General features: G+C 50.6%; 1 protein-coding gene, 1 long non-coding RNA gene and 2 pseudogenes across 5 annotated transcripts in view, besides 4 other annotated features; 2 read left to right on the forward strand and 2 right to left on the reverse strand.

Annotated features, from left to right (window-relative positions):
- Positions 1–11,182, forward strand: part of KRT7 (keratin 7) — a 22,611-nt gene extending 11,429 nt beyond the window's left edge. For 2 of the 3 annotated variants that reach the window (NM_005556.4, XM_017019294.2), the window contains 3 exons: positions 741–961; positions 3,506–3,540; positions 3,920–4,250. In NM_005556.4, coding sequence (NP_005547.3) covers positions 741–961; positions 3,506–3,540; positions 3,920–4,089 — 426 coding nt within the window. In that variant the 3' untranslated portion in view covers positions 4,090–4,250. Of the gene's footprint in view, positions 1–740; positions 962–3,505; positions 3,541–3,919; positions 4,251–7,105 lie in introns of those variants that run through there. The other variant, XM_011538325.3, reaches the window with a different exon arrangement.
- Positions 19–168: an enhancer, noted in NCBI's record as "active region_6398". NCBI's record gives its function as "activates an Ori minimal core promoter by ATAC-STARR-seq in GM12878 lymphoblastoid cells {active_cell/tissue: GM12878}" and the evidence as "EXISTENCE:reporter gene assay evidence [ECO:0000049][PMID:35858748]".
- Positions 372–2,777, reverse strand: KRT7-AS (KRT7 antisense RNA 1). Its single transcript, NR_146274.1, has 2 exons — positions 2,506–2,777; positions 372–1,797 (listed from the first exon to the last, which is right to left on the reverse strand). It is a non-coding gene; the product is annotated as a KRT7 antisense RNA 1 (long non-coding RNA).
- Positions 5,129–5,735: an enhancer, noted in NCBI's record as "H3K27ac-H3K4me1 hESC enhancer chr12:52643584-52644190 (GRCh37/hg19 assembly coordinates)". NCBI's record gives its function as "activates a minimal SCP1, AML or CMV promoter by ChIP-STARR-seq in naive H9 embryonic stem cells {active_cell/tissue: H9 hESC(naive)}" and the evidence as "EXISTENCE:reporter gene assay evidence [ECO:0000049][PMID:30033119]".
- KRT87P (keratin 87, pseudogene) lies at positions 5,873–13,837 on the reverse strand (annotated as a pseudogene). The gene is made up of 9 exons (NR_146088.1): positions 13,499–13,837; positions 11,368–11,571; positions 10,679–10,739; positions 9,598–9,693; positions 8,930–9,094; positions 8,542–8,667; positions 7,591–7,810; positions 7,356–7,387; positions 5,873–5,970 (listed from the first exon to the last, which is right to left on the reverse strand). The product of NR_146088.1 is annotated as a keratin 87, pseudogene (transcript).
- Positions 7,265–7,765: an enhancer, noted in NCBI's record as "H3K4me1 hESC enhancer chr12:52645720-52646220 (GRCh37/hg19 assembly coordinates)". NCBI's record gives its function as "activates a minimal SCP1, AML or CMV promoter by ChIP-STARR-seq in primed H9 embryonic stem cells {active_cell/tissue: H9 hESC(primed)}" and the evidence as "EXISTENCE:reporter gene assay evidence [ECO:0000049][PMID:30033119]".
- Positions 7,766–8,266: an enhancer, noted in NCBI's record as "H3K4me1 hESC enhancer chr12:52646221-52646721 (GRCh37/hg19 assembly coordinates)". NCBI's record gives its function as "activates a minimal SCP1, AML or CMV promoter by ChIP-STARR-seq in primed H9 embryonic stem cells {active_cell/tissue: H9 hESC(primed)}" and the evidence as "EXISTENCE:reporter gene assay evidence [ECO:0000049][PMID:30033119]".
- On the forward strand, positions 19,110–23,826 carry KRT88P (keratin 88, pseudogene; annotated as a pseudogene).

Consider the following 27,766-nt stretch of genomic DNA (forward strand, 5'->3'; position numbering starts at 1 on the left):
AGATGAGGCCTGGGACTATTCAGGCTCCTGGCAGTGGGGGCTGAGCCTAAAGCAGAGGGCACTCTAAGGCCAGGGAGAAAGTGGCAGCTGCTCCAGGCAGGCACAGGTCTGGAACCAGAGCATCCCTGACCAAACCCGGGGACTGTGAGTCATGCATCTCATGGCATCTGGGGGCATCTAGGAGGGTCTCTCTGCTCCAGGCCCTCCTATTCTGCGCCTGCTCTCAACTGGTTCCTATTTTATAGGTGGTTTCTGGTCTTTGTCAGCTGCCTGACATCTGGAGACTCAATTAAGATCCCATGGTCTTCGAGCTCCTGCAGCTGGGGGCTGGGGCTGGGGGACTGGGGGTTTGAAAATCATAATAGCATTCATTAAAAATGATCACAATAGCATTTATTAAGCACTTGCTGTGTGCTAGACATTGTGCCACGGACATCTTGTATATTATCTCATTTCATCCTCAAAATCTCCTGATGTTCTCTTAGAAAAGAGGGGACTTTGGCTTAGCAGGGTTGATTCATCCATGGTCACACAGCTAGTAAGTGGCAGAGCCAGAACTGGAACATAGGCGTTGGATATCCAAACCTATGTGTTTAACCCTTAGGATTCTCTGGTACTTGGGGGAGTAGGTGGTGCCAATGAAGCCACCTTAAGCAAGTTGCCCGGGTGCTCACTGCAGGATGGGCAGGCAGGAAGGCAGACTGGTGAGCCCCAGCTTACAGCTGCACTGCTGCCCACAGCGTGCCAAGTTGGAGGCCGCCATTGCCGAGGCTGAGGAGCGTGGGGAGCTGGCGCTCAAGGATGCTCGTGCCAAGCAGGAGGAGCTGGAAGCCGCCCTGCAGCGGGGCAAGCAGGATATGGCACGGCAGCTGCGTGAGTACCAGGAACTCATGAGCGTGAAGCTGGCCCTGGACATCGAGATCGCCACCTACCGCAAGCTGCTGGAGGGCGAGGAGAGCCGGTGAGGACAAGGAACCTGGAAAGGGGATGCTTCTAGGGCTCCGTGGGGTTTGGGGCTTGACATTCATCCATTTACAAGCATTTCCTGTATGCCCCTCCTCTGCAGGGCACTGGGTGTGGGGATGCAGGGAACACAGAGCTGATGCTTGCCTCTTTGCCTTCAATGAGATGACCTTCTAGAAGGAAAGACCATGGAGTGTGAAGCTCAGTGGGCAGGTTGAAATGATAACAGTCCCTTTGTGTGTGCGGCTTCTTAGGGTTATCATATTTGATCCTCAGCACACATTCAGGTAGTCAGGTCAGAGACGATTGATTCCTTAGTCTCCAGAGGGGAAAGCTGTGGTTGAGTTTCATTAATTGAGGGAATAGGGCCAGAGTGCAGTCAGGGTGTGCTGATTCCTGCTCCAAGGATCTTCCAGGACGCCAGGCTGCTTCTCACTACAGAACTAAGTGCTACATCATGTGGGGCTAACTGACTGTGGTGGAGGGGGATCGTTTTGTTTGTCCCCAGAGATATTTGCAGACTCACTTGCAGTCAGAGAGGAGGCTGGAATGGGGGAGTCTGATAGCACATTCTTCATGAACCGCATGCCACCTCTGTCTATGCAGCTGGGCCTTCATGGGCATATTGTTGGGTTCGAACTCAACCTCTTCATTCTTGGCTTGTTATAAGACACCATGGCAACAGAGAATACGTAGGACATGTTTCTGCCCTCAGGGAGGTTGCAGAGGGTGGAGGAGACAAAACATCCACAGAGGAAACCCCCAGAGACCAGTAACTTACATTTGTAAAATGCTGAGTGTATACAAGAACTTATTCTTTTCTGAGTATTATTCCTAAGGGGCCAGAGAGAGACATGACGGAGGATGAATGGAGCAGCAGGGAAGGGAATGGGGAGTGAAGGGGTGCTAGGGCCGAGGGCCTGGGTGCTGGGAGGAGAAGAGGAGACACAGGGCCGCAGGGTATGAGTAGGAGGCGGAGAGGAGGAGGAAGGGGCTTTGCCCCTGCTGCTGACCCGCCTTCTCCCTGGGTTAGCACCCAGTCTTCTTTGTGGGAAGAAGAATTAACACCAAAAGTCTCTGGGAACACAGAAGCTGATCTGGGCACAGGGAGCTCCAGCCAAGATGCCTCTCTCTGCTTTCGCCTCTCCCACAGGCACAGGGCCCCCAAATTCTCTACAACCCATACCCTGGGCCTTCTGTTGTCATAGAAGTCAGAGTTGGGGGACTCTTAGAGTGGTACCTGATCTGGCTTCCTCCCATGGGAAGAAAAGGGGACTGAAGCTCAGAAATGGTCAGTAGTGTGCCCAAGGTCACACAGCACGCAGAGACATCCTCTTCTGAAAGCTTAATCTCAGTCTGAGCTGCTGTAACCAGGCTTAGATCCGGGTACTCTGAGAGGATATGGTTCCCCCAACCCTGGGGGGATATGGAGGTAGATACCTTGCTTTTATCTCTTAACTTATCAGAGTTGTGGTCCAGAAACTCATTCAAACTGGGAGGCCTACTTTAAGAATACAAAGTTACCAAAAAAACCCCACTTACTTAGAATGAGAAAAGTCACACAGATCACTAGAGCCTTGGACATTCAGGCCTCTTCCGTCTGAGTTCCTTAGGCATCGTACCAGAAATTCTTCGAGTTGCTGCCTGACTGCAACCTGGCTCCCTCTCCCCACCCACAAGTGCCAGCAACTCCCAGCACCAGCAGGGGCCATTTAAGCAAGCCCCCTGGAAGCTTTCAGCAAACCTCTCTCTTTCCCTCAGCCTTTGCTCTGCCTGCTTCCTGGGCTTGGGGCCGCAGAGGCCAGCGAGGCTCCCTTCATTCCCTCCACCAAAGCGAGGTCTTCCCTGCCCCCACAGAGCAAACTGATCCCCAAGGCCAAGGCCTTGGTGACAATGGGACTGTGAGTCACAAAACAAACATAGCCAGCTGTCCCGAATGGATTTTTAATTTCTACTGCAAGACCTGTTTCAGCCCCACTGGCTGCTTAAAGCCACCCCCACTCCCTGCTCCTTCCTTAGTCCTGGCTGGAGCCCCATTCAATCAGTCAACGATTCACGAATTATTTTGACATATATTAAGCAATGACTTCTCCAGGCCTCATACTGGGGATAAAAGTATCAATAGGCCACAGACACCTTTAGGATTTTATGATACGGTGAGGAAAGGCAGCCATCTACATAAATAACACATACAGCTACCATTCACCGAATCCCAGGTGCTCAGGGCTTTAGACAGATTATGTCATTTAACCCTCACAGGCCCATGAATTTGGTCCTGTAGTTGGGCCCAAGGCATAGGTGGGAAATGGAGGCCCTGAGACATTGCCTGGGGTCAGGTGGCCAGTGGATAGAAGGGCCAAGGTGAACACTCCCTTCCTGCATGCCTCCTCGCTCCTTTTACAAGGCTGAAGGCAGGCTGGAAGTGTGGGGCAAGAAGGAAAAATCAATGATCCTGCTTGGGGCCTGGAAGGAGAGAGGGCTGAGAGCGCTTCCCTCCCACGCTAGGAAAGAGCCGTCCTCACTGTCTGTCCTCTGCCCCCAGGTTGGCTGGAGATGGAGTGGGAGCCGTGAATATCTGTAAGTCCTTGGCTGCGGCCCATGGGAAGCATCCCTTGTGCTGTTTAGATGGGGCTGGGTCTAGAGAATGGCAGACTGGCCCAGGGCCCTGCTGGAGGGGCCAGGAGACTCCTTCCTTTCTACAGGGATTGACAGGTCCCCTGGAGCACATACTGCCAGGCTCAATGGCCTGGGAAGCACTACAAGAGGGCAGGGTGGGGCCAGGAGCACCTGGGGAGCAGCCCTACCCCTGTCAGATGCTCCTTCTGGGTTGGCCCATGGAGGGGGGCAGGGGTGAGGGAGAGGGGCAGCTGGGGCAGGAGGGTGGGGTGCAGTGAAGGGATGGGGTCCCTGGTAGGGAGCCTCACGCTGAAGAGAGCCCTCCTCTTTTCTCTCCCAGCTGTGATGAATTCCACTGGTGGCAGTAGCAGTGGCGGTGGCATTGGGCTGACCCTCGGGGGAACCATGGGCAGCAATGCCCTGAGCTTCTCCAGCAGTGCGGGTCCTGGGCTCCTGAAGGCTTATTCCATCCGGACCGCATCCGCCAGTCGCAGGAGTGCCCGCGACTGAGCCGCCTCCCACCACTCCACTCCTCCAGCCACCACCCACAATCACAAGAAGATTCCCACCCCTGCCTCCCATGCCTGGTCCCAAGACAGTGAGACAGTCTGGAAAGTGATGTCAGAATAGCTTCCAATAAAGCAGCCTCATTCTGAGGCCTGAGTGATCCACGTGCCTGGTATCCTGGCTTCATGAGGCTGGGCAGGGGAAAAGACGGGACTAGAGAAGGCAGGGTCTCCCTGGTGACTAGGAAGCCTTTTGTGCAGGAGACTGAGAAGGCACATGGTGGGATGGGGTGCTGCTCTAAGGAGCAGGACGCTTACCTAGGGTGAGCCTTGGCCTCCAGGTCTGGGGCTGATCCCAAAGATTCTCCTGAGGAAGCCCAGAAGAGCCACGGGGAAATGCAGGCTCTGCCAGCAATTGGGCCTTGGAGGGCTGCCCTGCTAAGGGGGTGGAAAGGCTGTTTGCCTCCCTCCCCCCATGCCCAGAGCTGCCAGAGCACATTCCTTTTGTGAGGAGGCCACAGACGTTCAGCTGCCCCAGCTTCCAGTTTCGGGTGGCCCAGCCAACTTTCATGCCAGCCGTCCTCAGCCCTTCCTGGTGCTGGGTCTGCCAGGCTCATGGTCAGCCAGGCCTGGGGCCCTGGAGAGGTCCTCTGCATCTTGAATTCTGTGGAGGTAGTGGTTGTGGGGGGGAGGTGTGTGTGTGCATGGGAGGAGGGTCCTAGAGTCTAGATCCCCGGTAACAGGTCTGTGCCTAGGACCTTAGTGGAGGGATGGGTTTGTATCTGGATCCATGGGAGTGGGGAAGGACATCTGTGTTAAGTCAGTGCTTGATGGGGGCTTCTATGTCAGAGTCCCCGACACACAGGTCTGTGTGTCTGTGAGTGTGGCAGGTGTTCTGTGGCAGGGCCTATGCATGGGGAAATGTGTCCCTGATGGGCAGCAGCACATATGATGGGTACTGTGGAGCCACAGGGAGGTCTCTGTGTCTGGGACCCCAGGGGTGATGGTGGTGGTGTGGATGGGGGAGCTATGTGGGATGTGTTGGCTTCTGGGAGGAAGTCTGTATATTTGACCCTATGGTCAGGGAACTTTCAAATGCTGAGGTGGGGGCTGGGGTGGAGAGTGGAAAAAGTGGACCAGCAGCCACAGTGATGGGGTTCCCACCCAAGGTGTCAGGAGATCCAGGCCCTCTCCCTCCCGACTAAGAAGACCAAGTGGGCAAGAGGAAGGAGAGACTCTCAGGGCACAATGCATATGATCAGGAGCTTTACTGGAAATGCTGAGACAAGCACAGGGGAGAGGGAGGGAGCCAGGCAGCCAGGCAGGAGAGGTGGCCTGTCCTGCACGTGTATTAGAAGACATTGGATTAGAAGGCACAGCAAGTCCACACCAAGGGGCTCCAGGCCCATCTGTCCCTCAGAAGCCACAGGCATCCAGGCCTCCGGACCGGGGTCTTTACCTAGGGCTGCGAGGACAGTCCTTTAGATTCGGGGGTTGGGAGAGCTGCGGGCTAGGAGCCCTGTGCTCTCGGAAGCAGTGAAGGGACTAGCGGGCGGGGATGCGAGACAGGAAGGCGCGGCGTGGGGGCCGATGGGGAGGCTGGGCCCCGAAGCCCTCCTTCCCCACGTCTGGGGACCGTGGGAGCTCCGGGCTGCCTCTGGAGGCAGAGGCTGCTGCTGGTGAGGCGGCGTCGGTACAAAGTGGGGCGCTCAGGCGAAGCGCACGGAGCGGCCGCTGCCGCTGCTCTGGCCGCAGGGCGCACACAGGCCGGTGCTCACCGCCACGTTCCCGCTGCAGGGGGCACTGCAGACGCTGCCCGTCACCGGCCGGGAGCCCGACACGCACAGGTCCCCGCATAAGACCCCGCCGCGAGAGCTGCTGACACCTGCCAGAGGGGGAGGACAGGGCCCAGTCTCCTGGCGGCCAGAGGCCCCTTCTGCTCAGAGCTTCTCCCCTCTGTTTCTATGCGCGCCCCTCAAACCCTCACATGGGCACTCCTTCCTGCAGTCTTAGCCTCAGGCGTCCTTGATACACTGTTAGCCCAGGTCCTCTCTATAGGCAGACATAGCCATGCTTCGCCTCACAACAGAGACATGTTCTGAGAAATACAGCATTAAATGATTTTGTCATTGTGCGAACATCATGGAGTGCACATACGCAAACCTACATGTTGTAGCCTACTACACACCTGGGCTCTGTGGCGAGGGTGGCCAACCTTTTTTATTTTTTATTTTTATTTTTGAGACGGAGTCTCTCTCTATCGCCCAGACTGGAGTGCAGTGGCGCGATCTCGGCTCACTGCAACCTCTGCCTCCTGGGTTTAAGTGATTCTCCTGCCTCAGCCTCCCTAGTAGCTGGGATTACAGGTGTCCATCACCTTGCCCGGCTAATTTTTTTATTTTTAGTAGAGACGGGGTTTCACCATGTTGGCCAGGCTGATCTCAAACTCCTGACCTCAAGTGATCCACCTGCCTTGGCCTCCCAAAGTGCTGGGATTACAGGTGTAAGCCACCACACCCAGGCCCCAAGGGTGTCCAATCTTTTGGCTTCCCTGGGCCACACTGGAAGAAGAAGAATTGTCTTGGGCCACACATAAAATACACTAATACTAACGGTAGCTGATGAGCTTTAAAAAATCACACACACGAAAATCTCGTAAGTTTTAAGAATGTTTACAAATTTGTGCTGGGCCACATTCAAAGCCGTCCTGGGCTGTATGCAGCCTTCTGGTCAGGGGTTTGACAAGTTTACCCTATAGCATAGCCTGTTGCTTCTAAGCTACAAATCTGTACAGCATGTGACTGTACTGAAGACTAAAGGCAACTGTAACACCATGGTAGGTATTTGTGTATCTGAACATAGCTAAACCTAGGAAAGTAGAGTAAAAATATGGTATAATCTAATGGGACTACTGTCCTATATTCCATCCATCCTTGACCTAAAAGTCCTTATGTGGTACATGACTGTAGCTAATTAAGTTACTATAAGCACTCACTGCCCCACTCCATCTTTCCTTTTAGAGTCTGCAAACTACGGCCACATGCAGGCTTCCTGTTTGTCAATCAAGTTTTCTTGGAACCCAGTCATACCGCTTCCTTCAAGTATTGCCTTTGGCTGTGGCTGCTTTACATGACAACGGAGTGGAGCAGTTGAGGCAGAGACTACATGGCCCACGAGCCTAAAGTTTTTACTATCTGAAGCTCTAAGAAAAAGTTTGCCTGCCCAGAACCCCAAGCTGTTATTTCAGGACCCACAAAATGGATTACTTACAGACATTTACAGCACCAACGCCCTCACACAACCTTATAGGGAAAGCAAAGAGACAGAAATTAGTTGTGGGGAGCAAAGCTGGTGAAATCTGTTTAACCTGCAAATTCTCTCCTCCAATTAGCGTTGATGCACATTCCAAGTAAATAATATGCAGACATGCTCCTGGGTGTTGAAGCACTGCAGCACTGCCTGGGGGAAACTGAGGGGACACCCTCCCCACAGCTGTGGTCCTCACCTCTGCTCCTCGCCCTCCAGCAGGCGCCTGTAGGTGGCGATCTCAAAGTCCAGGCCAGCTTGGAGTTCATCACCTCCTGGTACTCCCTGATCAGGCAGGCCATGTCCTGCTTGGCCTTCTGCAGGGCACCCTCCAGCTCGGCCAGCTTGCAGCGGGCATCACTGAGGGCCGCCTCACCCTGCTGCTCAGACTGGGCCACCGCGGCCTCCAGCTTGGAGTTCTGGGAGGCAAGGGAGGGTTATTAAGGATCTCTGTTCTGGCTTCAGGGTCAGAGGCCAGGTAACCACTGACCACTGACTAGCAGAAGAAAAAGAGGCCTTGTCTATTTGTTAGGCCAGGGGTTGCAAATTAGTGCTCCCAGGCATGTTTGCACAGTGTCTTCAATTTTGGAAATTTAACACAATAATTGAAATTCTTGGCTTCTTTCAAAAGATCAGAGGATCTGGCCACACTGGACCTGCATTTCTGCATGGCCTGCCTCAGTTGGATCTGCCTAGCCCTGCCTTTTGTGCTTTCCAGTTTACCATAGTCCCTATCATACCCAAGTGCCTTGGGAACAGCTTGCTTGCTTCGCTCATTTACTAACCCCATTGATGTCTGAATGTGTGATCACTGATCTAGAACAACAGGCCAGAGAGGTTAAATGCCTTTCCCAAGTCTCATGGCAAACTAGTGGCAGAGCTTGTTTGAGAGCCCAGGTTTCCTGCCCCTTAGACTGGTGCTATTTCCTCTGCCCCACTCTGCCCTTGGAAGCACCTCATTCCCTCCATATTGCCCCAATGCCTCCATTCAGCGAGAATGGAGAACGTTTTCCATGGAGGAGGCTGTCTGTCCTCATGCTGGGTGTTTGCCCTTGTCCCCACACACTGGCAAGGGGTCTAACCCAAATCCCTCTCCTGAGGGCTAACCCCACTCTCTTCCTACACTGAGGGGTGGGCTGGGCTCCCATACCTGGCACTTGGCGTTCTCCACCTCGGCTGTCAGCCTCTGGATCATGCGGTTCAGCTCGTTGATCTCCTCCTTGGTGCGGCGCAGGGTCTCCCCGTGCCTGATCACCGTGGCCTTCATCTCCTCACACTGGGGAAGTAGAGTTGCTTATGAGGCTCAGGGTGGGACCTCCCATCCATTCAGGACACCACGGATGATTGTGCAGGTTGTGCAGTGCTCAGCCTGTGCAACCACACATGGCAGTCCTGCCCTGCTACCCCAACCTCAGAGAGGCAGCCCTTATCTTCCCATCCGTAGGGACCAGAATCCCCAGAAAAGGAAGCCTATTTAATAGGTACCTTGCATCCCTCCAACTGCCATGTCTAGCAGGCAGGTGTCCTGTGCCACTCACCTTGCTGCGGTACCAGGACTCGGCCTCGGCCCGGCTGCGGGTGGCAATGTCATCGTACTGAGCTTTGATCTCAGTGATGACACAGTGCATGTTCAGGTCCCGACTGTTGTCCATCTTGACGACCACTGAGGTGTCTGAGATGTGCGACTGGAGAACGCGGATCTCCTGCAGGAGATGGGGAGTGGCAAGAGCTTCTTAGACCAGAGCCCTACTCTTGGTAGCCCACCCTCATCATCATCCCTTGTCCCCTTTCCCTGCTTCTTCGATGTCTGAAGCCCCACCCTCCCAGTTACAGTCTTCCACCTCAACCCTGGGACCCCCTCAGGACTCCTCAAGCCCAGAGTCCTGAGCCTAGAGGACTTGGAGGTAGAGAGTCCATGTCTGAGGCCCAGTGCCTGATTTTAATCAGGACCTTCCAGCTTGAACCTTTGGGTCTAGGACCAGAGTTTACCACCTTGTGGCAATTGTCACTTTAGTAACCAGGAACACCAGGTTGCCTGGGGCATGGCAGTGGGAGGTCAAGCCACACTTCTTCACCTGCTCATGGTGAACCTGCCTGGGGTTTCTCCCCTTGTCCCACCATAGGGTCAGAAGCTGAATGGTGACAAGTATTTTCCAATGTCTAACTCATATCCTCCTTGCTGCCCCGCTGCTTTGTGACCCCGCACCTCCTCATATAGCCGCCTCAGGAAGTCGATCTCCTGGGTCAGGGCCTCCACGTTGGCCTCTAGGTCTGATTTGCGCAGGTAGGCACAGTCCACATCCTAAAGGGGAGAAGGTGGCACAGGAATTGCACTGGGAGACAATTCAGAACCCTTGTTTTTTTCCTACCAGGGAGGGGCACCCCATCAGGCTGAGCAGCTTCCCTGGAAACCCTCTGTACGTGCTCATCCCAGTGCCTGGTATCATGCCTTGGTGAAGCCCCTTATACAGTTAGTAGTGGCGTCAAGAGCAGGTTTGGGTAAGGGAGGGGGACACTGAGGTTTGCAGGTACTTCCTCTGGCACCCACTGGGATGATTTCTCTAGAATCCATGTCATGCACTATCACCAAAACTTAAGATCTGGTGTACAGTGGGTAAATTCTAATGATGCCCCACCCCTCTCCGCTCTGGAATCTCATGGAAGATAATCTAGATCTGTGGTCAGAAGAGGGCTCAGGGCTCAACTCTGTCCCTTCCAAGTCAGTGTCACTCTGAGCAGCCCCCTTAACCTCTGCACCTCATTTTCTCACAATAACCCCTGCTTTCCTCATATGGAGGTGGCTGGAAGGGCCTAATGAGAGTCCAGGCACTTGTACAGAGTCAAGTCTAAGAGGCAAGGAATGACGGTCACTGCCCCTGCCTGTGGTTCTGAGCTGTTGCTGGCCTGAGGATGCAGCCATTGTCTATAATTCACCTGCTCTTTCACTCGCAAATATTTACAGGGTGCCTACTCTATGCCAGGCGCAGGGCCGAAGGAGGTGAAAATCTGGTGGCTATATGGCAGCAACCTCAGATGGGGGAGAATATTGCCCTGCCTGAAGCAGGCAGTGTATTCTGCTGCCAGAGGCACCCAGGGAGCACTGGAGCACTGGGGAAAGGAACAGAAAGAAGCTGGGCCGTGTGATTCTAAGGGAGTCCCTCCACCTCTCCGAACTACAGAGAGCCTGATGTTAGTCAAGGTCTCCCAGCTCAAACCTTTGGGTCTAGGACCCTTCTGTCTCTGGCCTCCATTCTGAGTTAGGGGACAAGGATTCTGGGGTCACTCACCTTCTTCAAGGCCACAAATTCATTCTCAGCAGTGGCCCTTAGTGCCACCTCTTCTTCATACCTGGGGACAAAACACACAAGGCTCAGATCTGGGGAGGAAAAAAAATGGGAATGAAGGCACAGGCAAACACATTCCGGGAACTGGATCTTTTGGAGGTGGTCACAAGAATCAAAAAAGTGTTGGACTGAAGGGAACTTGTCCATCCCTTTCTTCTGGGCATTCAAACCAACCCATGTTACTCAAAGCTCTTTCTATTTCAGGGACTTTCATTCCTGATGTGGGTCAGGGTGGGGGCCCTGCACATTTTCGAAGACCTCCTCTCTGTTTCTGGGCTGTAACTCCTTTGGGGCAGGAACCCTGCCCAGTTCTGGTACCTCTCCTTTCTCCTCCTTCTTACTTCCTTACTCCTTTCCCACTCAGAGCCCAACATAGCACCTACAACATTGAGTAGATGCTCAATAAAATGTTTGATGAATTAATGAAATAAACATAATGATGAAGTAGCTGGAGCAGTTCAGAATCTCCAATGTTTAAACTCCCAGTCTAGAAAAGAAATTCCCCCCACCCCACAGGATTATTGTACTATTTTCTTCCTGTTGGGAAGTTCCTCTTATGGTCGAACCCAAATCTATCATACTTTGACTTAATCCCATTTAATTTCTCCAAACCCTCCTCCCACTGCACTTACTTCTTCTTGTAACCCTCCAGCACCTCCTGCACGTGGTTGAGCTCTGAGGCCAGCCTCCCACTGTTGGCTTCCATGCACTCGGCCTCCCGTCGCAGAGTTGTAGCCCTCAAACAGAGGCTCCAGGTTGCTCTTGCAGCACTCACGGTTCTGGAAGAACTGCAGCTTTGTCTCCAGCAGCTTGTTCTGCTGCTCCAGGAAGTGCACCTGGTGTGGAAGTGGGAGAAATGTTGGTTGGAGGAGCCAATATCCCCAGCCCTCCTTGGGGAACAGCCAGAGTCAAGACAGAACTGGCAGTAAGATGTGCAGAGGCAAGGGGTAGACCACATGGCCCCTGCTGGTCTCTCCTGGCCTGAGGATGCAGCTGGAGAATCCTTGTTTCATAATTGCTTATTCAGGGCTAAGTGAGGGTCTGTCCAGGTGGGCCTGGATGGGATGAGCGACAGACTGAGAGGCCTGTGGGCTGTGCTGGGTTACTGTCAGGCTAGCGGCGGACAGATGGGGGTAGGGGGTAGTGACAATTAGGGAAGACTTCCTGGAGGAAAGGAATGTAGAGCAGTGTTGGGAGGGATAGAGTAGGGAGAATGCCTCTCACTATAAGCTCCCTCAGGGCAGGGCCTATGGCTTATTTATTGATGTCCTCATAGCCAGCCCTTGGCTTGGTGAACATTTGATTGAACAGATGGTCAAGGTGGGAAGGGCTTCCTAGCTGGGGAGGTCATAGAGGCTAGGCTCTTACCAAGCAGGACGCCTGGGGCCTGAAGAGGCATCGGGGAGTGTGGGGCATGGTCCTAGGTGGCCTAAATTCTTATGTTGGACACTGTGTCATATGTCTCTGGGGGCCAGACATATGTAATGTGAATGGGGGGAGGTTTTGGAAAACAGAGAGGGTGAGGACCCTAGGGAAGTGAGGCTTGTACGCTTTTCCTGGATTTCACTGAAACTGGAGGAACACATGGCAACAATACATTGTGCTGGCCAGAAAGGATGTCAGCAAACAAACTAGGGCCCTTGGCTTCCAGTTTTCCACTTCTCGTACATTTGAGCTGGAGCTGAGATGTCTCCTTGCCTTTAAGCCCTGGGGTCCTTTTCATCCAACTCCATGAGTGCAGCTGGGAATTCCCAGGTTGGAACTTGCAGACATGGGGAGTGGGGACTGCTGATATTACATGGCATAATTTCAGGTGGTCCTGGCTATGGGGTCTCATGGCTGCCTTGGGCCCCATTTTCCCTTTCAGAGTCATGGCCAGCTCACACACTGCACCACACACAGCCCTGGTGAGGAAGCCACTGGGGTGGAGAAGGGAAGCCTCTGCCCAGTGCCACACAATGCGTCAGTAGAGGAACTTAACTGAGCATGGAGGCCAGGTGGCCTGCTCCTGGGCCAGTGTCCATTCCACGAGCCGCTCCTGGGTCACCTCTCCAGCGTGCAGTGCCTGTTGAGGTGAACCAGCCCCTTCTAGAGGGAGTGGGGCAGCTGGGATCCCAAGCTGTGGACCTTCTAGCCCAGGGGCTGGAGAGTTGGAGAGGGCCTGGGCTTGGAACCCTGTTCTGGCACCCACTCTCTGTGGGCCCTTGGGCCAGCCCCTCACCCTCTCTCTGCCTCCTTTCTCTTCTGTGTACACCCAAGGCTGACTTCAGGATTTTGCCATCCCATATACTATTTTACTCCTAATTTATCTATAAGTGGATTCAATTAACATTTACACGTATGGGGTTAAAAGAGTAACTTCATATGGCCACCAGAGATGCAAAACCATCATTACTAGGCATACATAAAGGGAAATTACAGATCATTAAATTCTAGTAGAAACAGTTGTCCTAGACAGTTCTGAAGCCGGGGCTTGCTCTCTTTATTAGAAGCAGGAGGGAAGCAAGTATTAGAGAGATGCTAAAAACATTAGCATCCAGTGATATTTTTTTCCCACCTAATCTTAAGGATTGAAACAGACATTAAAGAAGATGTATTTTCTTACCACGTGTTTCAATGTTATTTAATATGATGGGCCGGCACCGCCTAACATTATATAAAATATCAGCCATCCTCATTCCCCATTTCTAGAGAGACCACTGGGAATTTCCATCTCCTTCCAGGACTTCCAGGTTCAGGAAAGGTGTGATCCAGGACACCCACCTTGTCCATGAAGGCCGCGAACCTGCTGTTGAGGGACTTGATCTGCTCCTTCTCCTCCTGCTTCACGCACTGTGCGTTGGGGTCGATCTCCAGGTTGAGGGGCGTGAGGAGGCTCTCGTTGACCGACACGGTGGCGATGCATGGGGGGCTGGGTCCGCACACGCCCCCGGAGCGGTAGCCGAAGCTGCGTCCGCAGGAGCCGGCGCGGAAGCCCCCGCACACGCTGTGGCTGCCGAAGCCTCCGGTGAGGCCGCGGTAGCAGGAGACGCCGCGGTAGGGGGCGGCGGTGATGCAGCAGCGGCCGGGCCGGGGCCCGCAGGCCGAGATGCAGCTGAAGGCGCGGACCCCGCAGGGGGCGCTGAGGCGGGAGTAGAGGCAGGACATGGTGCGGTGGCGGCAGGGGCGGGCGGCTGGACCCCAAGCCGGCGCTGCGCCTTATATGACGGCCCGCGGGCCCGGGGAGGGAGCTCGCGGCCAAGGCGTTTACGAGCTTGGAGGGCTCGGCCCTCGCGCCTCGCGGAGCCGGGAATGAAAGCGAGCCAGGCCGCCCGGCCGCCTGCATAAAACGGCGTTCGCCTCCCGCCCGAGTTTTATGGGGCCGGGAAGCGCCTGGTCAGCCCCGCTGCCCGTGCGCTGCGGTCAGTGCGAGTGGAACCCCTCCACCTGTCCGCCCCTCCGCCGGGACTCCGAGCTTTGCCTTGTTGGATCCGGCCTCCACTTCGGTCCCAGTCCCATAGCCCCGGTCCCCCGCAGCGGGCACCGTGTGTGGGGCGAGTGTGTGCGTGTGTCGAGAGTGTGGGGCCTCTGAAGTCAGTCCCGCAGGTTCATGTCATGACCTTGGGCAGCTGAATAACCTTTCTGAGCCTCAGTTTTCTCACAGGCAAAATAGCGATAATAATAGTAAGCACTGAGAGCCGTTGCCAGGATCTAATGAGATAATGACCAGAAAGCATTTAGGGCCCTACCTATCACTTAATAAGAACTGTGTAAATGTTTATTTATTCATTATTTGTTCTATTTATTCTATTGTTAATTTATCATTCATCCTGTGTCCCTTTGGGCAAAAACTTTCTCTTCTCTTCTATCTCAGGACTCAGCTCATACCTCCTCTTCTCGTAAGCGTCCCTCCTTCCTGTACCCCTCTCCACTCTGCTTGGGCGAGGGGAAGGGAGTTTTATTCATGGAGTGCCCGCAATGTGCCTAGTACTGTGCTGAGGCCTTTTTATACCATATTATTTCCTCTAGCTCCCAGGGCGTCCTTCTGAGTTTGGTATTATTGTGCCCATTTACCTGATTGGGAAGGTGAGCTCAGGGTGGTCCAGTGACTTGTTTAAGGTCATGCATAGAAGGATCCATAGAGGGGCAGAGTTGGAATCTGAAAGGCCACCCCTCCTCCAAGCCCTCCTCCACAATGGTCTCACCCAGGGTCTGAATCTTTGGGGGCTGAGTGAGGGTTGAGTTCTTGTTGGCGGCAGGAGCACAGACTGCTGCTGGGCTTTGGGCCCTTGGAGAAATCGGCCTGATCCAAGGCCTTCCCCTCAACTGAGGCTTGGTCATGGCCACCAACTCTAGAAGGCCATAATCCATTATAAAGGAAGTTAATTATGTGTCCAATTATTGGCAGAGGAAACCAGGAGTGTGCACTCAGCAGCCAGCATTAAAGAGAAGCATGCAAATCACCCTCGGCTTCCTTTGCTTTTAAATATGAGTTATTATTGTGAAAGCAGTAATTAAATCTTAGAACTCCAGAGGTCACCACAGCCAGTCCTGGCTTTGAGCTGCCTGGCATCGCATTTCCTCTTACCCCTTTTCCTGTCTTTTCTGCACTCTCATGGGCTTGGATTCCTTTGGCCCAGCCTTGGTCTGTTTTGTAGCAGTTTAAGGCCAACCTTCATTCAGTCCTCTGTAGAAGTTGGAGCCCAACCCCACAGGCTTGTGCCCCTGCCCCGGCTTCAGCTGGGAGTCAGTGTAAGAATTAAAGAAAGACGAAAGAAACATGAAAGGTGGCTTGCCAGTCAAGACAGGTTTATTTTAGAGAAAACAAACCTAAGAGGGGTGTCTGGCCGAGTTAGGTCAGAGGCACATCTCTTACAGACTAAGAGTTTTTTTTTAAGGATTCAGGGTGGGAGAGTTTAGAAGAGGCTTGGACTGCTTCTGTGTCTTTGTTGTGCTTATCTGGGAGGGAGAAGTGTGTGTCTGTTCCCATACATCTTTCTGCAGCTTCAGGCATATCCCCCGAGTCTGCTTTTAGCTTCTCTATCTTAGTGCACCTGAAGGGAAAGGAACGTGCTTATTAAGGCCCACTGTTTTACTGGGGCCCATTGTATGAGGGTGAAGTTTGGCGGTTACCCACAAGACTTTCCTCCTACTTCCCTCTGTGCCCAAGCTGTCTTATCTGTGTTTTACTGCCCGCTCTTTCTGTCTGCTTGTAGTTAGAAGAGAAGTGATTTCCTTGAAATGCATGAGGCTAGAAAGGGAGCTGGAACTTAAAGTGGTGGTGTTTGTCCGAGATGACAGTGCTCCTGCTGTGTCAGTCACCAGCTGTGTGACTAATGCTTGGCTTCAGGATTATGTATTTCGATTCCAATTTTCTTTTGAGAATAAGTAGTATTGGAGGAGTGTTCCCTTGGTGTCTCCTGGACGAGAGGATTTGGACTTACCCTGGAGCATGGAAGATTTAAATTAGACTTGTGGAGGCACTTACATGATTCTTGCTTGGACCCCTTTCTGGGTTCTGGTGGGTGGATAGACTGGACTTTCTATGCTATTACAATCAATGAGGATGTTAATAATCAGCCTTTGTCCACACAGATAATTATGTGCATTTAAAATCCAGAGAAACAGAAGATCTGCAGGCTGCATTGTTCCCGCTAAGAAAACAATGTGAAGGGGCTGGAATGGAGAGGTTTGACATCTGGATCACAGTGGTCTTCCACAATGTTAATGCTAATCCCTGGCCCAGCCTCAGGGAAACATGATCCCTCGTGGTCTGTTTATTATTCTTGGAACTCAGGGGAGAGAAACAGGCTGAAACCTGAGAAATTTCAGAAACAATTAAGGACATACTTCTTCATAGAGAGGGTTGGTTGTCACAAGTGCCAGGGAAGAGGAGGGCTTCTTCATCATCAGCCAGATCTTCTAGAAAACATCCCCCCGCCCCTTTTATCACCAATATACCAGTCTATCAGTGAAAACCTAATGTCCTGTTTGGGTTATCATGCCTCTTCTTTAACCTCCCAGTGGGTCCCAGGGGCTAGTTCAAGGCAGGAAGCAAACATCTACTGAATACCATCAGGAACCAGGCTCAGAGCATGAAGGAGAGACTGGAGTCCTCAGGCAGTGCAGGCATGCATACAGAGGACCCTAGTGCAAAGCTGAAGGGGGTCTGGCTATAGTGGAGCAACACCATGCCATGGGAGCTTGGGACCAAGGGTCAGAGCAGGGTTCTTGGAGATGACACTTTGGTTTGGCCTGAAGAAGGTGAGGACTTGGAAATGCTGAGATGAGAGAGGGGAGGATTCAGGCAGAGTGAATGGTGTAAGCAAAGACACAAAGCAAGGGAGGCCAGAGGATGTGAAGGGAATAGTGGGTCATCTGCTTTGGCTGAAAAATAGGGTTTGATGAGAGCAGGGGGAAGGAGGCTGGCTGAGGCCACATGGTGAATATGGTGGATGGGCAGGATAGGCTCAGAATATCAAGCGAAGTGCTGGAGGTGCTTGACCTGCAGAGGGCCATGCTCAGAGGTGTGTGAGTGAACGGAACATGGGGATAGTACACAGAGAGTGTATATGTGTAAAAGTGTGTGTGTGTGCGCACGAGCATGTGTGTTCTTCTGGTAACTTTGTTTTGAAACATCTTGAACACCAGTGTGTCCATTTCAGAAATACATTTCTTCCTTCTTTATGGTATAGTGATCAAAAGTGTCTCTGGAATCAGACACGCCTGGGCTCTGCCACTTACAATGTGGGTGAAAACTTGCACATAACCCCGTTGAGTCTCTGTTTCTTTTGTATCTAGAATTGAGGTAATATAACTTGCCAGGGACATGGCAAGGATCAGGTGAGGTGTATGTAAAGCACTAGCATGCTGCCTGCTGTATAGTAAGTGGTCTGTACATTCTAGCCACTGTTGAGTGCTGTTGTTATTTCACTGTCCTGGTCACCATCCAGAGCCCCCCAGCCCCCTGCCCTGCTCTTTCAGGTCTGGGGGCTGTGGCCTCCTCCACGCTGTTGCTCTCCTGGCTGGGGACCCCCACTCCCATGCCTCAGTTAGGCTCCTGTGGGCCTGTCTCAAAGCTGATGGGACAGGCTTTCTTGAAGGGTATCTCTGATAAAGAGGGAGCCTTTGCAAGAGACTGGAGAGTGTGGCCCTGTGCTTCTGGTGGAGTTGTGGGAGACACCGTTGGGTGGGGGTGAGGAATCTTAAAGGCACATGGGAAGGAAGGGAGGTGGGTGGGCAGGCAGAGGGATCCAGATACTTCGAACCCTCAACCAGATGCTTACACACATCCACCCATGCGGGGGTCTGTCTGGCAGACCCTGACCCAATGATGGATGAATAACATGCACCAACGCAGATATTATGCTTGTCAGTCCAGCTGAGAGTCCGGGCCACTTACAGACTCCCTGGAGAGTGCGGTAAACAGTTGTGACCATGGCCTCGACTAGCCAGTGAGACTCGCATTTATTCAGTAAAGATTAATTGACAAAGTCTTGAGTCAATGCCACTAGAGGGTAATTGACCTTGTGGACCTCCCGAGTAGAAAGCAATTAAGCACCCACTGTAGATCAAAGGTTAGTCTTAGGACTACATGAGTAAACAAGCTAGTTAGATAAACTCTCCCACATTCCTTTGTATCTACTTTTAATCTATTTAACTGAAGGAAAAGGGACTAGGCTGCCTTCAGCCAGATCTATTACTGAAGTTATGCCAACTGTCAGGCCTTCCAAGAGGCTTTGTGGCTATTATAACTAAAATTTTTCCCATCAGCCTGACTGAACCCCCACATACCCACTTCATGGCTCCTATGGCAAGAAGAGCTGAACAAAACTGTTTTGGTTGTATGGTTGACTCTTCCATGTCTTGGTAGAGGTAGACACAATCTCCTACTGGCCATGCCAGGAGTCAGGTGTCACAGGCTGCCTTTAGGACTCAGCCCTAGGGCCCTTCCTGGGGAGCCCCTGGAAGTCTCTTCCACTTGAAGGAGCCAGGGCTTACCACCCGGAGTGAGGATGGCCTGTCCTTTGTCCCTGGTTGCAGCTCATCTGATGGCCCAAACTGAAAAACTGTGAGGTTGTGAGCTCAGCTAACCACCTGAAAGGAAGTGTCCCAACCTGGCTTCCCCCTGGCTCCACAATTACTTCACAAAGTGTGGAGTCCACAGGTTTTGGCTGACCTTGACTCCTGGACACCATCAGCCCTCAGCTGTGGAAGAAATGCTGCCAATGTTTCAGAATTGCCTGAGTGTAGGATTTTCCAAAGCCCCATATTGATGATGTTACCCCAGGAGGGAGGAGAAATGACTGTGAAATTTCCCAAGCTCATAAAAGTGACAATATGGCCTCTCCACATGGGGAGGCAGACAGACCCAGGTGCCTGGGTTTATAAAAGGTGCTAGCAGTGAGGGAAAGGTCAGAGTCCTCTTCTTCCTCTGGCTTCATGTCCTCCAGCAGAGAGTCGCCATGACTTGTAGATTGTCTTGCCTAGGCTCCTGAGCGGAGTCTGCAAATCCAGGTCCTGTGCAGCCACTCAGAGATATGGTTATGACCCCACCCTCAGCTGCATCTTGCCCTCCGGGCCCTGGTCTGGTGGCTGCTGCATCACGGCAAGCCCCTGCTACCATGGCCTCACTGGGGGCTTTGGCACTGGTTCCTGTGGACACAGATTCAGCTACCACTCTGGCAGCACATGCGGGCCCAGCACTGCCTGTAACACCATTGTGTTGATCAAGGAGAGCCTCCTCATGCCCCTCAACCTGGAGATTGCACAGTGCATAAAGCAGGAGGAGGAGAAGATCAAGTGCCTCAACAGCAGGTTTACTGCCTTCCTCCACAAGGTGGGTGTCCTGGATCACACCCTTCCTGAACCCCCACCATGTGCACAACCAGGACTGGGCACTGAGGAAAGAATCAGAGGCAGGCAAGACCCTGCGTGCCTGAGGTCCCAGTCTGATGGGAGAGGCACACAGACAGACAGACAGACAGACAGACAGACAGACAGAGGCACCCAAGGCCCAGAAATACTCTGACAGTTCAGATACGGAGAGCTTGTGGAGGAAAGATGCCAAATTTCAAAATTTCAATGAATTTAGTTTAAAGATCTTAGTTGGATTTTATATGCAATTTTAGAATTGGGCAGCCCTTAGAACTGATCAGAGGAACTCTGGCTGCACTGCGGTCCCACAATACTTATGGACAGAAAACAGAAAGTGACACATGGAAAACAGAAGTAACAGCTGGATTGTTTGCAGCTGGTGTTTGTGAACATTTGGCTGCCTGTGATTGACTGAAGCTCAGTTACTGTGATTGGCTGAGACTCAGCTATTTGTTACAAAGGAAAATTCTGAAGTTAGGTTTGTAAGGGATAATTGGAAGGACAGCCGAGAAAGGAATAAGGCCAATAGACCCAAGTTCAGGCAAGCTGATTTACTGTCAGTCCTGCCGGGCTACCTCCTGACAAAAGCAGAGGAGGCAGCCCTGCTTATAGGCTATTGCAAGGTTTTATAGGGCATGTATTCCTAATTCCAACTAGGAATGTTGGAATTAGCAGTTTCTGGCCAAGGATCTGAGGTACAGTTATTATAGGTTAAAAGAGTGCTGGCCAGGCGCGGTGGCTCACGCCTGTAATCTCAGCACTTTGGGAGGCTGAGCGGGGGTAGATCACGAGGTCAGGAGTTTGAGACCAGCCTGACCAACATGGTGATACCCCGTCTCTACTAAAAATACAAAAATTAGCTTGGCGTGGTGGCACGCACCTGTAATCCCAGCTACTCCAGAGGCTGAGGCAGGAGAATTGCTTGAATCTGGGAGGCAGAGGTTGCAGTGAGCTGAGGTTGCGCCACTGTACTCCAGCCTGGGTGACAAAGCAAGATTCTGTCTCAGGAAAAAAAAAGTGCTATAGTACCCTGGCACATAAGTCAATTTGCAAGAAAATCTGTTTGGGATTTTGGTGCAAACTTGCCTTGCAATATACTCATTAGTCTTGGTTCTTGAATCACATGACTGGGTTAAAGTAAAACAGGTCATGAGAACAAATGAGTCTGGAAGTCTAATTCCGTAATAGGGACCACTGCTATAATACATCATAGATTGATCCCTTATGAAATAGCTACTGGAAGGCCTATGCCCTAATAATAGAACTCATTTATTTTCTACTCCCCTAAACTCTGACATAACTAAATGCTGCAAGGTTTTAATGCATTATGCCAAAGTATATTTTCACCAGGTAAAGGAAGCTTTTCAAGATCTATCAACTGAGGACAATCAAACCCTTCACAATCTAGAATGCAGAGATCAGGTCATCTGGAGACGATATCTGAGAAAGACTGCCATTGAGCCCCATTGGAGGGGGCCATATCAAGTTCTTCTCATCACCCACTCTTCAGCAAAACTTCAGGGCCTTGGACCTTCGGTCTACATCTCGCAACTCAAAAGGGTCCATTCAGACTCTTAGAACTGCACATCCATTGGAGACCTTAAGATAAAGCCAAGCAGAGAAGTTTCTTCCCAGAAACAGACAGTATTCTAGATGTGGACAGCTTTCCCAAGACCATGGATCAAGACTTCTCTGCCGTCATGCAACTCTTACCTCTCTTAATTTTTTCCTTGCTTACGCCTTCCTCATTCACTTGGCAGGATAATGCTGTAATTCGAATTTCATAATCAGTAGCTTCTGAGAGTAATTTTTTTTTTCTTTTTGAGACAGAGTCTCTATTGCCCAGGTTGGGGTGCAGTGGTGTGATCTTGGCTCACTGCAAACCTCTGTCTCCCGGGTTCAAGCAATTCTCATGCCTCAGCCTCCCAAGTAGCTGGGATTACTGGCATGCGCCAACACACTGGCTAATTTTTGTATTTTTTTTTTTTTTTTTTTTGGTAGAGATGGGATTTCACCATGTTGGCCATGCTGGTCACAAACTCCTCACTGCAGGTGATCTGCCTGCCTCAGCCTCCCAAAGTGCTAAGATTACAGGAGTAGGCCGCCATGCCCAACCTTCTGAGAGTAACTTGACGGAGTGTTGTATCTGTCATGTCAAACTCAAATCTTTACATTACCTACAAAGTCCACCTATTGGCCAACTTCAGCAACATCCCTAATGCAACTATTTGTTCAAATTATAGCTATGTTCTCAACTTAAGTCACTGCCCCCACCTCTTGCAGGAGATCCATGTTCTCCAATCCCACATCTCAGACACCTCTGTGGTTGTCAAGCTGGACAACAGCCAGGACCTGAACATGGACTGCATCATTGCCGAGATCAAGGCACAGTATGACGACATTGTCACCTGCAGCTGGGCCAAGGCTGAGTCTTGGTACCATGGCTGCCTGCCAGATGTGGCACCTGCCTGCTAGATGTGGCAGTTGGGAGGGCAGGATGTGAGATACCTATTAGATAGACTTATTTTGCCTGGGGATTCTGGATAGTAGGCCAATAGCTCTCAGGTTGGGGTGGCAGGGCAGGACTGCCATGTGTGGTTGCACAGGCTGAGCACTGCACAACCTGCACAATCATCCCTAAAGGAAGGGATATCCCACACTGAGCCTCAGGAGCATCTCTGCTTCCCCCATTTCGGGGAGATGAAGGCCACGGTGATCTGGCACGGGGAGACTGTGGGCTGCACCAAGGAGGAGATCAAGGAGCTGACCCACATGATCCAGAGGCTGATGGCCAAGGTGGAGAATGCCAAGTGCCAGGTATGGGGCATCTGTGCCCAAGGCCAGAGAGACTTATGGCCTAACCTTTGTCACACAGCCTATGTGTGCCCTACGTGGATCTCAGCATTCATTCTCCAGTCCCTTTGTCCATGTAGAGTCCCTGGTTGTGGTCAGTCAGGGAGTGCCAGGATGATGAAGGCAAGAGGCCTGTTTCTGAGGTGCTCCCAGCTGAATGGCAGACTGGACATATCCAGGTAATGGACAGAGAGACCGTAACCTATCTTGTTCTCTTCTGGTCCCCCAGAACTCCAAGCTGGAGGTGGAGGTGACCCAGTCTGAGCAGCAGGGTGAGGTGGCCCTTAGCGATAACCGCTGCAAGCTGGTTGAGCTGGAGGGCACCATGCAGAAGGCCAGGCAGTACCAGGAGGTGATGAACTCCAAGCTGGGCCTCAATGTGAAGGCTGCCTCTTCTTGCCACCTTCTAGATGGTGAGGAGCAGAGGTGGGTGCAGCCTGCAGAGCTGGGCCCAGAGCTCATCTGCATAGACCTGCCCCACTTTTTAGCACCATCACTTACCCAGCCCTCACTACTACTTCTGTTTTCATCTTGGAACCCTTTTAGGACCTCTACTGGTATTGAGCACAGTCCAAGGAGCGGAGTCTTAGTTGAGTCCACAGGCCGATTTCCAATAGGCTCCTTGCATGATCTATTAGGGACAATGGTTTGTCTCAGAGAACTTGTTCTCTGAGATAAACAATGCCCTAATTTATAACACTTACCGATTTCAGAGTTGTATATACTTCTGTCATGGCTGATTTCAGGCTGTTGCTGTGACTTCATGTAGAATTGGCTAGAAATGTGCACAATAGGCTCTTGTGAGCTGGTGGGAGCTGGTTCAAGAACAACATTGGTTGGGGCTAGGATGGAATGGTGTCTCACACTGAAAGACAAATAGGAAGATATTTGTCTCTTCTCTTAGATGAAAAACCTGAGGCTTAGGGAGACTGTGGGGGTTGGGGAGTCCGCCTGGTGTGGAGTTATTGGGACAGTTGGAGAGTTCTTTTGTGTCCTGCTGCATTTTCACAGGCTCCACTTCCTGGGGGGATCTGGGAGAGCCTGGCACTTGTGTTGTTTTGGGACAGGGTTGGGACGATGCTGGGCCTTTGAGGGTGCTAGACCCAGGTCTTCCCTCCTCTCACTTTCTGGGAAGGGCTTGGGTGACCTCTTGGTTGACTGAGTTCAGAGCTGGTGACCACATGGTCTCTGGTGTCATTGTCAGGAATTAATGCCCAGTGCTAAAGCTGACCTTTTCTCTCCTGCACCAGGCTGTGTGATGGCATCAGTGCTGTGAATATCTGTGAGTAATTCTGGCCCTGAAGGGAGACTCTGAGGTTTGCCAGTGGGACGAATTTTTTAGCTCTGAGGGTGGAAATACCAAGGAAGTGGTTCCATTCATTTACAGCTGCACAGCTACAAAGAGGGAGCCAATTGACAAGTCTTGAGTGGAATCATTCCTTACGCCAGACTTGTCAGAGTGGCAGTCTTATTATCCTCACCATAGTGAAGGAACCAGAATGTGTCACCTCAAAATATGTATCTTTGACATAAATATATATCTTTTCTTTGAGACAGGGTCTCACTCTGTCACCCAGGCTAGAGTGCAGTGGTGTGATCATGGCTCACTGCAGCCTTGACCTCCTGGGCTCAAGCCATCCTCCCACCTCAGCCTCCTGAGTAGCTAGGTCTACAGGTGTGTACCACCACACCTGGCTAATTTTTTTCTATTTTTTTTCGTAGTGATAGTGTATTAGTCCGTTCTCTTGCTACTCTAAAGACATACGTGAGAGTAGGTAATTTATAAAGGAAAGAGGTTTAATCAACTCATAGTTCATCATGGCTGGGGAGGCCTCAGGAAACTTACAATCATGACAGAACGTGAAGGGGAAGCAAGGCACCTTTTTCACAAGGTGGCAGGAAGTAGAAGTGTCAGCAGGGGAGATGCCAGATGCTTATAAAACCATCAGATCTCATGAGAACTCACTCATCTTCACGAGATCAGCATGTGGGAAACTGCCCCAGTGATCCAATCACTTCTCACCAGGTCCCTCCCATGACATATAGAGACAAAGGTCTTTCTATCCTCTCCGCTTTCCTGCCTAAAGCCAAGATGTAAATTCTCCTTACAACCATTATGAGCTTAGAGGTGGCGCCAGAGGAATGTGGGTAGACTTTACTCCATTAGTTTATCCATAAATTTACCTTCCCACCTTTTCTCACTTTTGGAAGCCTTAAACTGCTTTTCTTTGTCTTGTCATTTCTCTAAAATTGATTATTCCTTGTCGAAGATGAATATACAGTTGGCCCTCTGAATCTGTGGATTCAACCAACTGCAGGTTGAAAATATTTGGAAAAAAACTGTACTGAACACGCACAGACTTTTTTTCTTTTCATGACTCCCTAAACAATACAACTATTCACATAGCATTTACATTGTATTAGATATTATAAGTAATCTAGAGATGATTTAAAGTATATGGGAGGATGTGTATAGGTTAAATGCAAATACTATGCCATTTTATATAAGAGACATGAACATCTTCAGATTTTGATATTTGCAGGTGTCCTGGAACCAGTCCCCCATGAGTATCGATGAATGACTACATAAGCCACAGAGCCTGTGTGTGCCCTTCCTGGATCTCAGCATTCATTCTCCAGTCCGTTTGTTCATGTAGAGTCCCTGGTTGTTACTTTTCTCCTTCCATGACGTGCACTGCTCCTGTTGGTAAACTTGCTTGTTTTTCTCTTGTTAATCTGTCTGTTGTTGCAGGAGTCTGTCTCAACTACGAATTTATGTGGGTTGAGGAAAATTATAATTTCTCCCCTTCAGTAGGAAGCTCTTATTCTCTCCCTGTCCAAACATACTTGTCCATGTTCAAGATGTCAGTCACTTTACTGGATTAAAACATGCATTTAATCTTCTTTAAATACATGTGGATTGAATGAGCTGTAATCAAATCCACATGTTGTGGATCCTAAGGTCATCCTGATTTTTTTTTTTTTCTTTTGAGACAGGGTCTCAGCCGAGTACGGTGGCTCACCCTTGTAATCCCTTTGGAACTTTGGGAGACCGAGGCAGGTGGGTTGCTTGAGCCTAGGAGTTTGAGACCAGCCCAGGCAATATAGTAAGAGCTCATATTTACAGAAAGAAGGGATTGAGGCTGGGTGTGGTGGCTCACACCTGTATTCCCAGCACTTTGGGAGGCTGAGGCAGGTGGATCACTTGAGGTCAGGAGTTTGAGACCAGCCTGGCCAACATGGTGAAACCCCATCTCTACTAAAAATACAAAAAATTAGCCAGGCATGATGGTGCGTGCCTGTAATCCCAGCTACTTGGGAGGCTGGGGCACAAGAATTGCTTGAACCTGGGAGGTGGAGGTTGCAGTGAGCCGAGATCGTGCCACTGCACTCCAGCCTGGGTGACAGAGTGAGACTCCATCTCACAAAAAAAAGAAGGGATTGAGATTAAACCCCAAGATGGAGTCCCTCCTAGTCAGGGTGTCAGTCCCTCGCACAGACTACAGGGAAGCAATGCCATCTTCACCCCTGGAGATGGAGGTGAGAAGAAGCCATCCTCCTGGCTGCTCCCAGCTGGTAGGAAGCCAGTGCTGATTGGAGGTGGGGCTTTTTGGGACCAGCTCCCACCCCGACCAAAGGGTTTAACTTCTTATGGCTGTCTCTGTGCAGGTGTGAGCAGCTCCTTGGTGGGGTTGCCTGTGGGGGCCTCTTGGCCACCTGCACCTGCGGCATCAGCTCCTGTGGGATGGGGCCTGTGGCAGCAGCTACAGGAAGTGTTAAGTTGGCAGAGCTTGAGGATGCACCCAGCCCAGCCTCTCACCCTTGCGAGGGTCCCAGCTGGCCCTACCTGACCTTGTGCAGCCTGGTGGCAGGGCGCCACTGCTTGACCCACCCTGATCCACGTTGTCTGCTTCCCACTTCTTACTTCTTGTTGTGTGGGAATCTCTCTTCCTTGGCCCCTGCTGCCCTCAAGCTGAGAAAGGCTATTGAGAGGAGTGGCACGTAGCCCATGGGCATGTTCTGTTTGAGGATTCTGACCTGACTGAACCCACGAAGAGGATAGCCTCTCACCAACCATCTTTCAACCTTCTGCTTCCCTTGCTGTCTTGCTCTTCCCTTCCCTTCTCTGGTCTTCTTTTCCTCCTTGCTTCTTGCCTCCTTTAGAAGGCTAAAATTTAATAGACTGACAATACCAAGTGTGAATCAGCTGAAACTTTTGTGGAGTGTAAAATGATTGAGCAACTTTGGAAAACAGTTTGGCAATTTCTTATGAAGTTAAACATGCACTTATCAAATGATGCAGCAATTCCACTCCTGGGTATTTGCTCAAAAGAAATAAAAGCAGATCTATACAGAGACTTGTACATGAATTTTATAGAAGCTTTATTTATAATAGCCCTAAATTGGAAACAACCCAAATGTGTACCAGCAGATGAATGGATAAACAAATTGAGATATAGTCATACAATAAAATATCATTCAGCAACAAAAAATAATGAACTAGATTCATTCAGTGGTGATTAGATTGGAGCATACATCTGTCAAAATTTGTTGAACTGTACTTTTAGAATGTGTGCGCTTTATTGAGATACAATTGTATGCAAATTATATGTCAATTAAGTTGATAAAATAATGATTTAAAATGCATAAGATACTTAGAAATAAATCTAACACATATGTGAAAGACTTACACCTAGAGAAATATAAGCGTTACACAAAATGTTATAGGAAAGAAAAGATAAAGAAGACATAATTAAATGAAGAGCTATACCATGTTCTTAGATAGGAAGCTTTACTATCATGAATATGTTAATTATCCTTACAGTGATCTACAGAGTTGACGCAACTACACTCAAATTCCAAATGAAGATTTACATAATTCTTGACAAGTTGATTCTAAAATTTATGGGGAAGAACAAAGGTCAAGAACAGCTAAGGAATGATGAGAAGGAAGAAATAGGTACTCTCTCTTTCAGGGATTATAATGTATTATAGAGTTATAGTAATTGAGAAAGTATAGTACCCACACAAAAATAGACAAACTGACCAATGGAACAAAATAGCCCCTAAATTTATTTATAAATAAGTAAATGATTTTGTTGTAAAATAGAAGTGGTATGGCAGATCAGTAGTGAAAAGGACTATGCATTGGTTAACCACATGTAAAAAATAAAATTAGATCCCTGTTTTCTCTTATACACAAAATCAGTTTCAAATTAATTTAAATTACAAATGTCAAAAGCAAAACTTTAAGAATTTTAGAAGAAAATATTGGAGAATATTTTTCTGACCTTGGTGTAGAGAAGGATTTTTAAACATGTC

The sequence above is a fragment of the Homo sapiens genome, chromosome 12, assembly GCF_000001405.40.
Source record: "Homo sapiens chromosome 12, GRCh38.p14 Primary Assembly".
Taxonomy (NCBI): domain Eukaryota; kingdom Metazoa; phylum Chordata; class Mammalia; order Primates; family Hominidae; genus Homo; species Homo sapiens.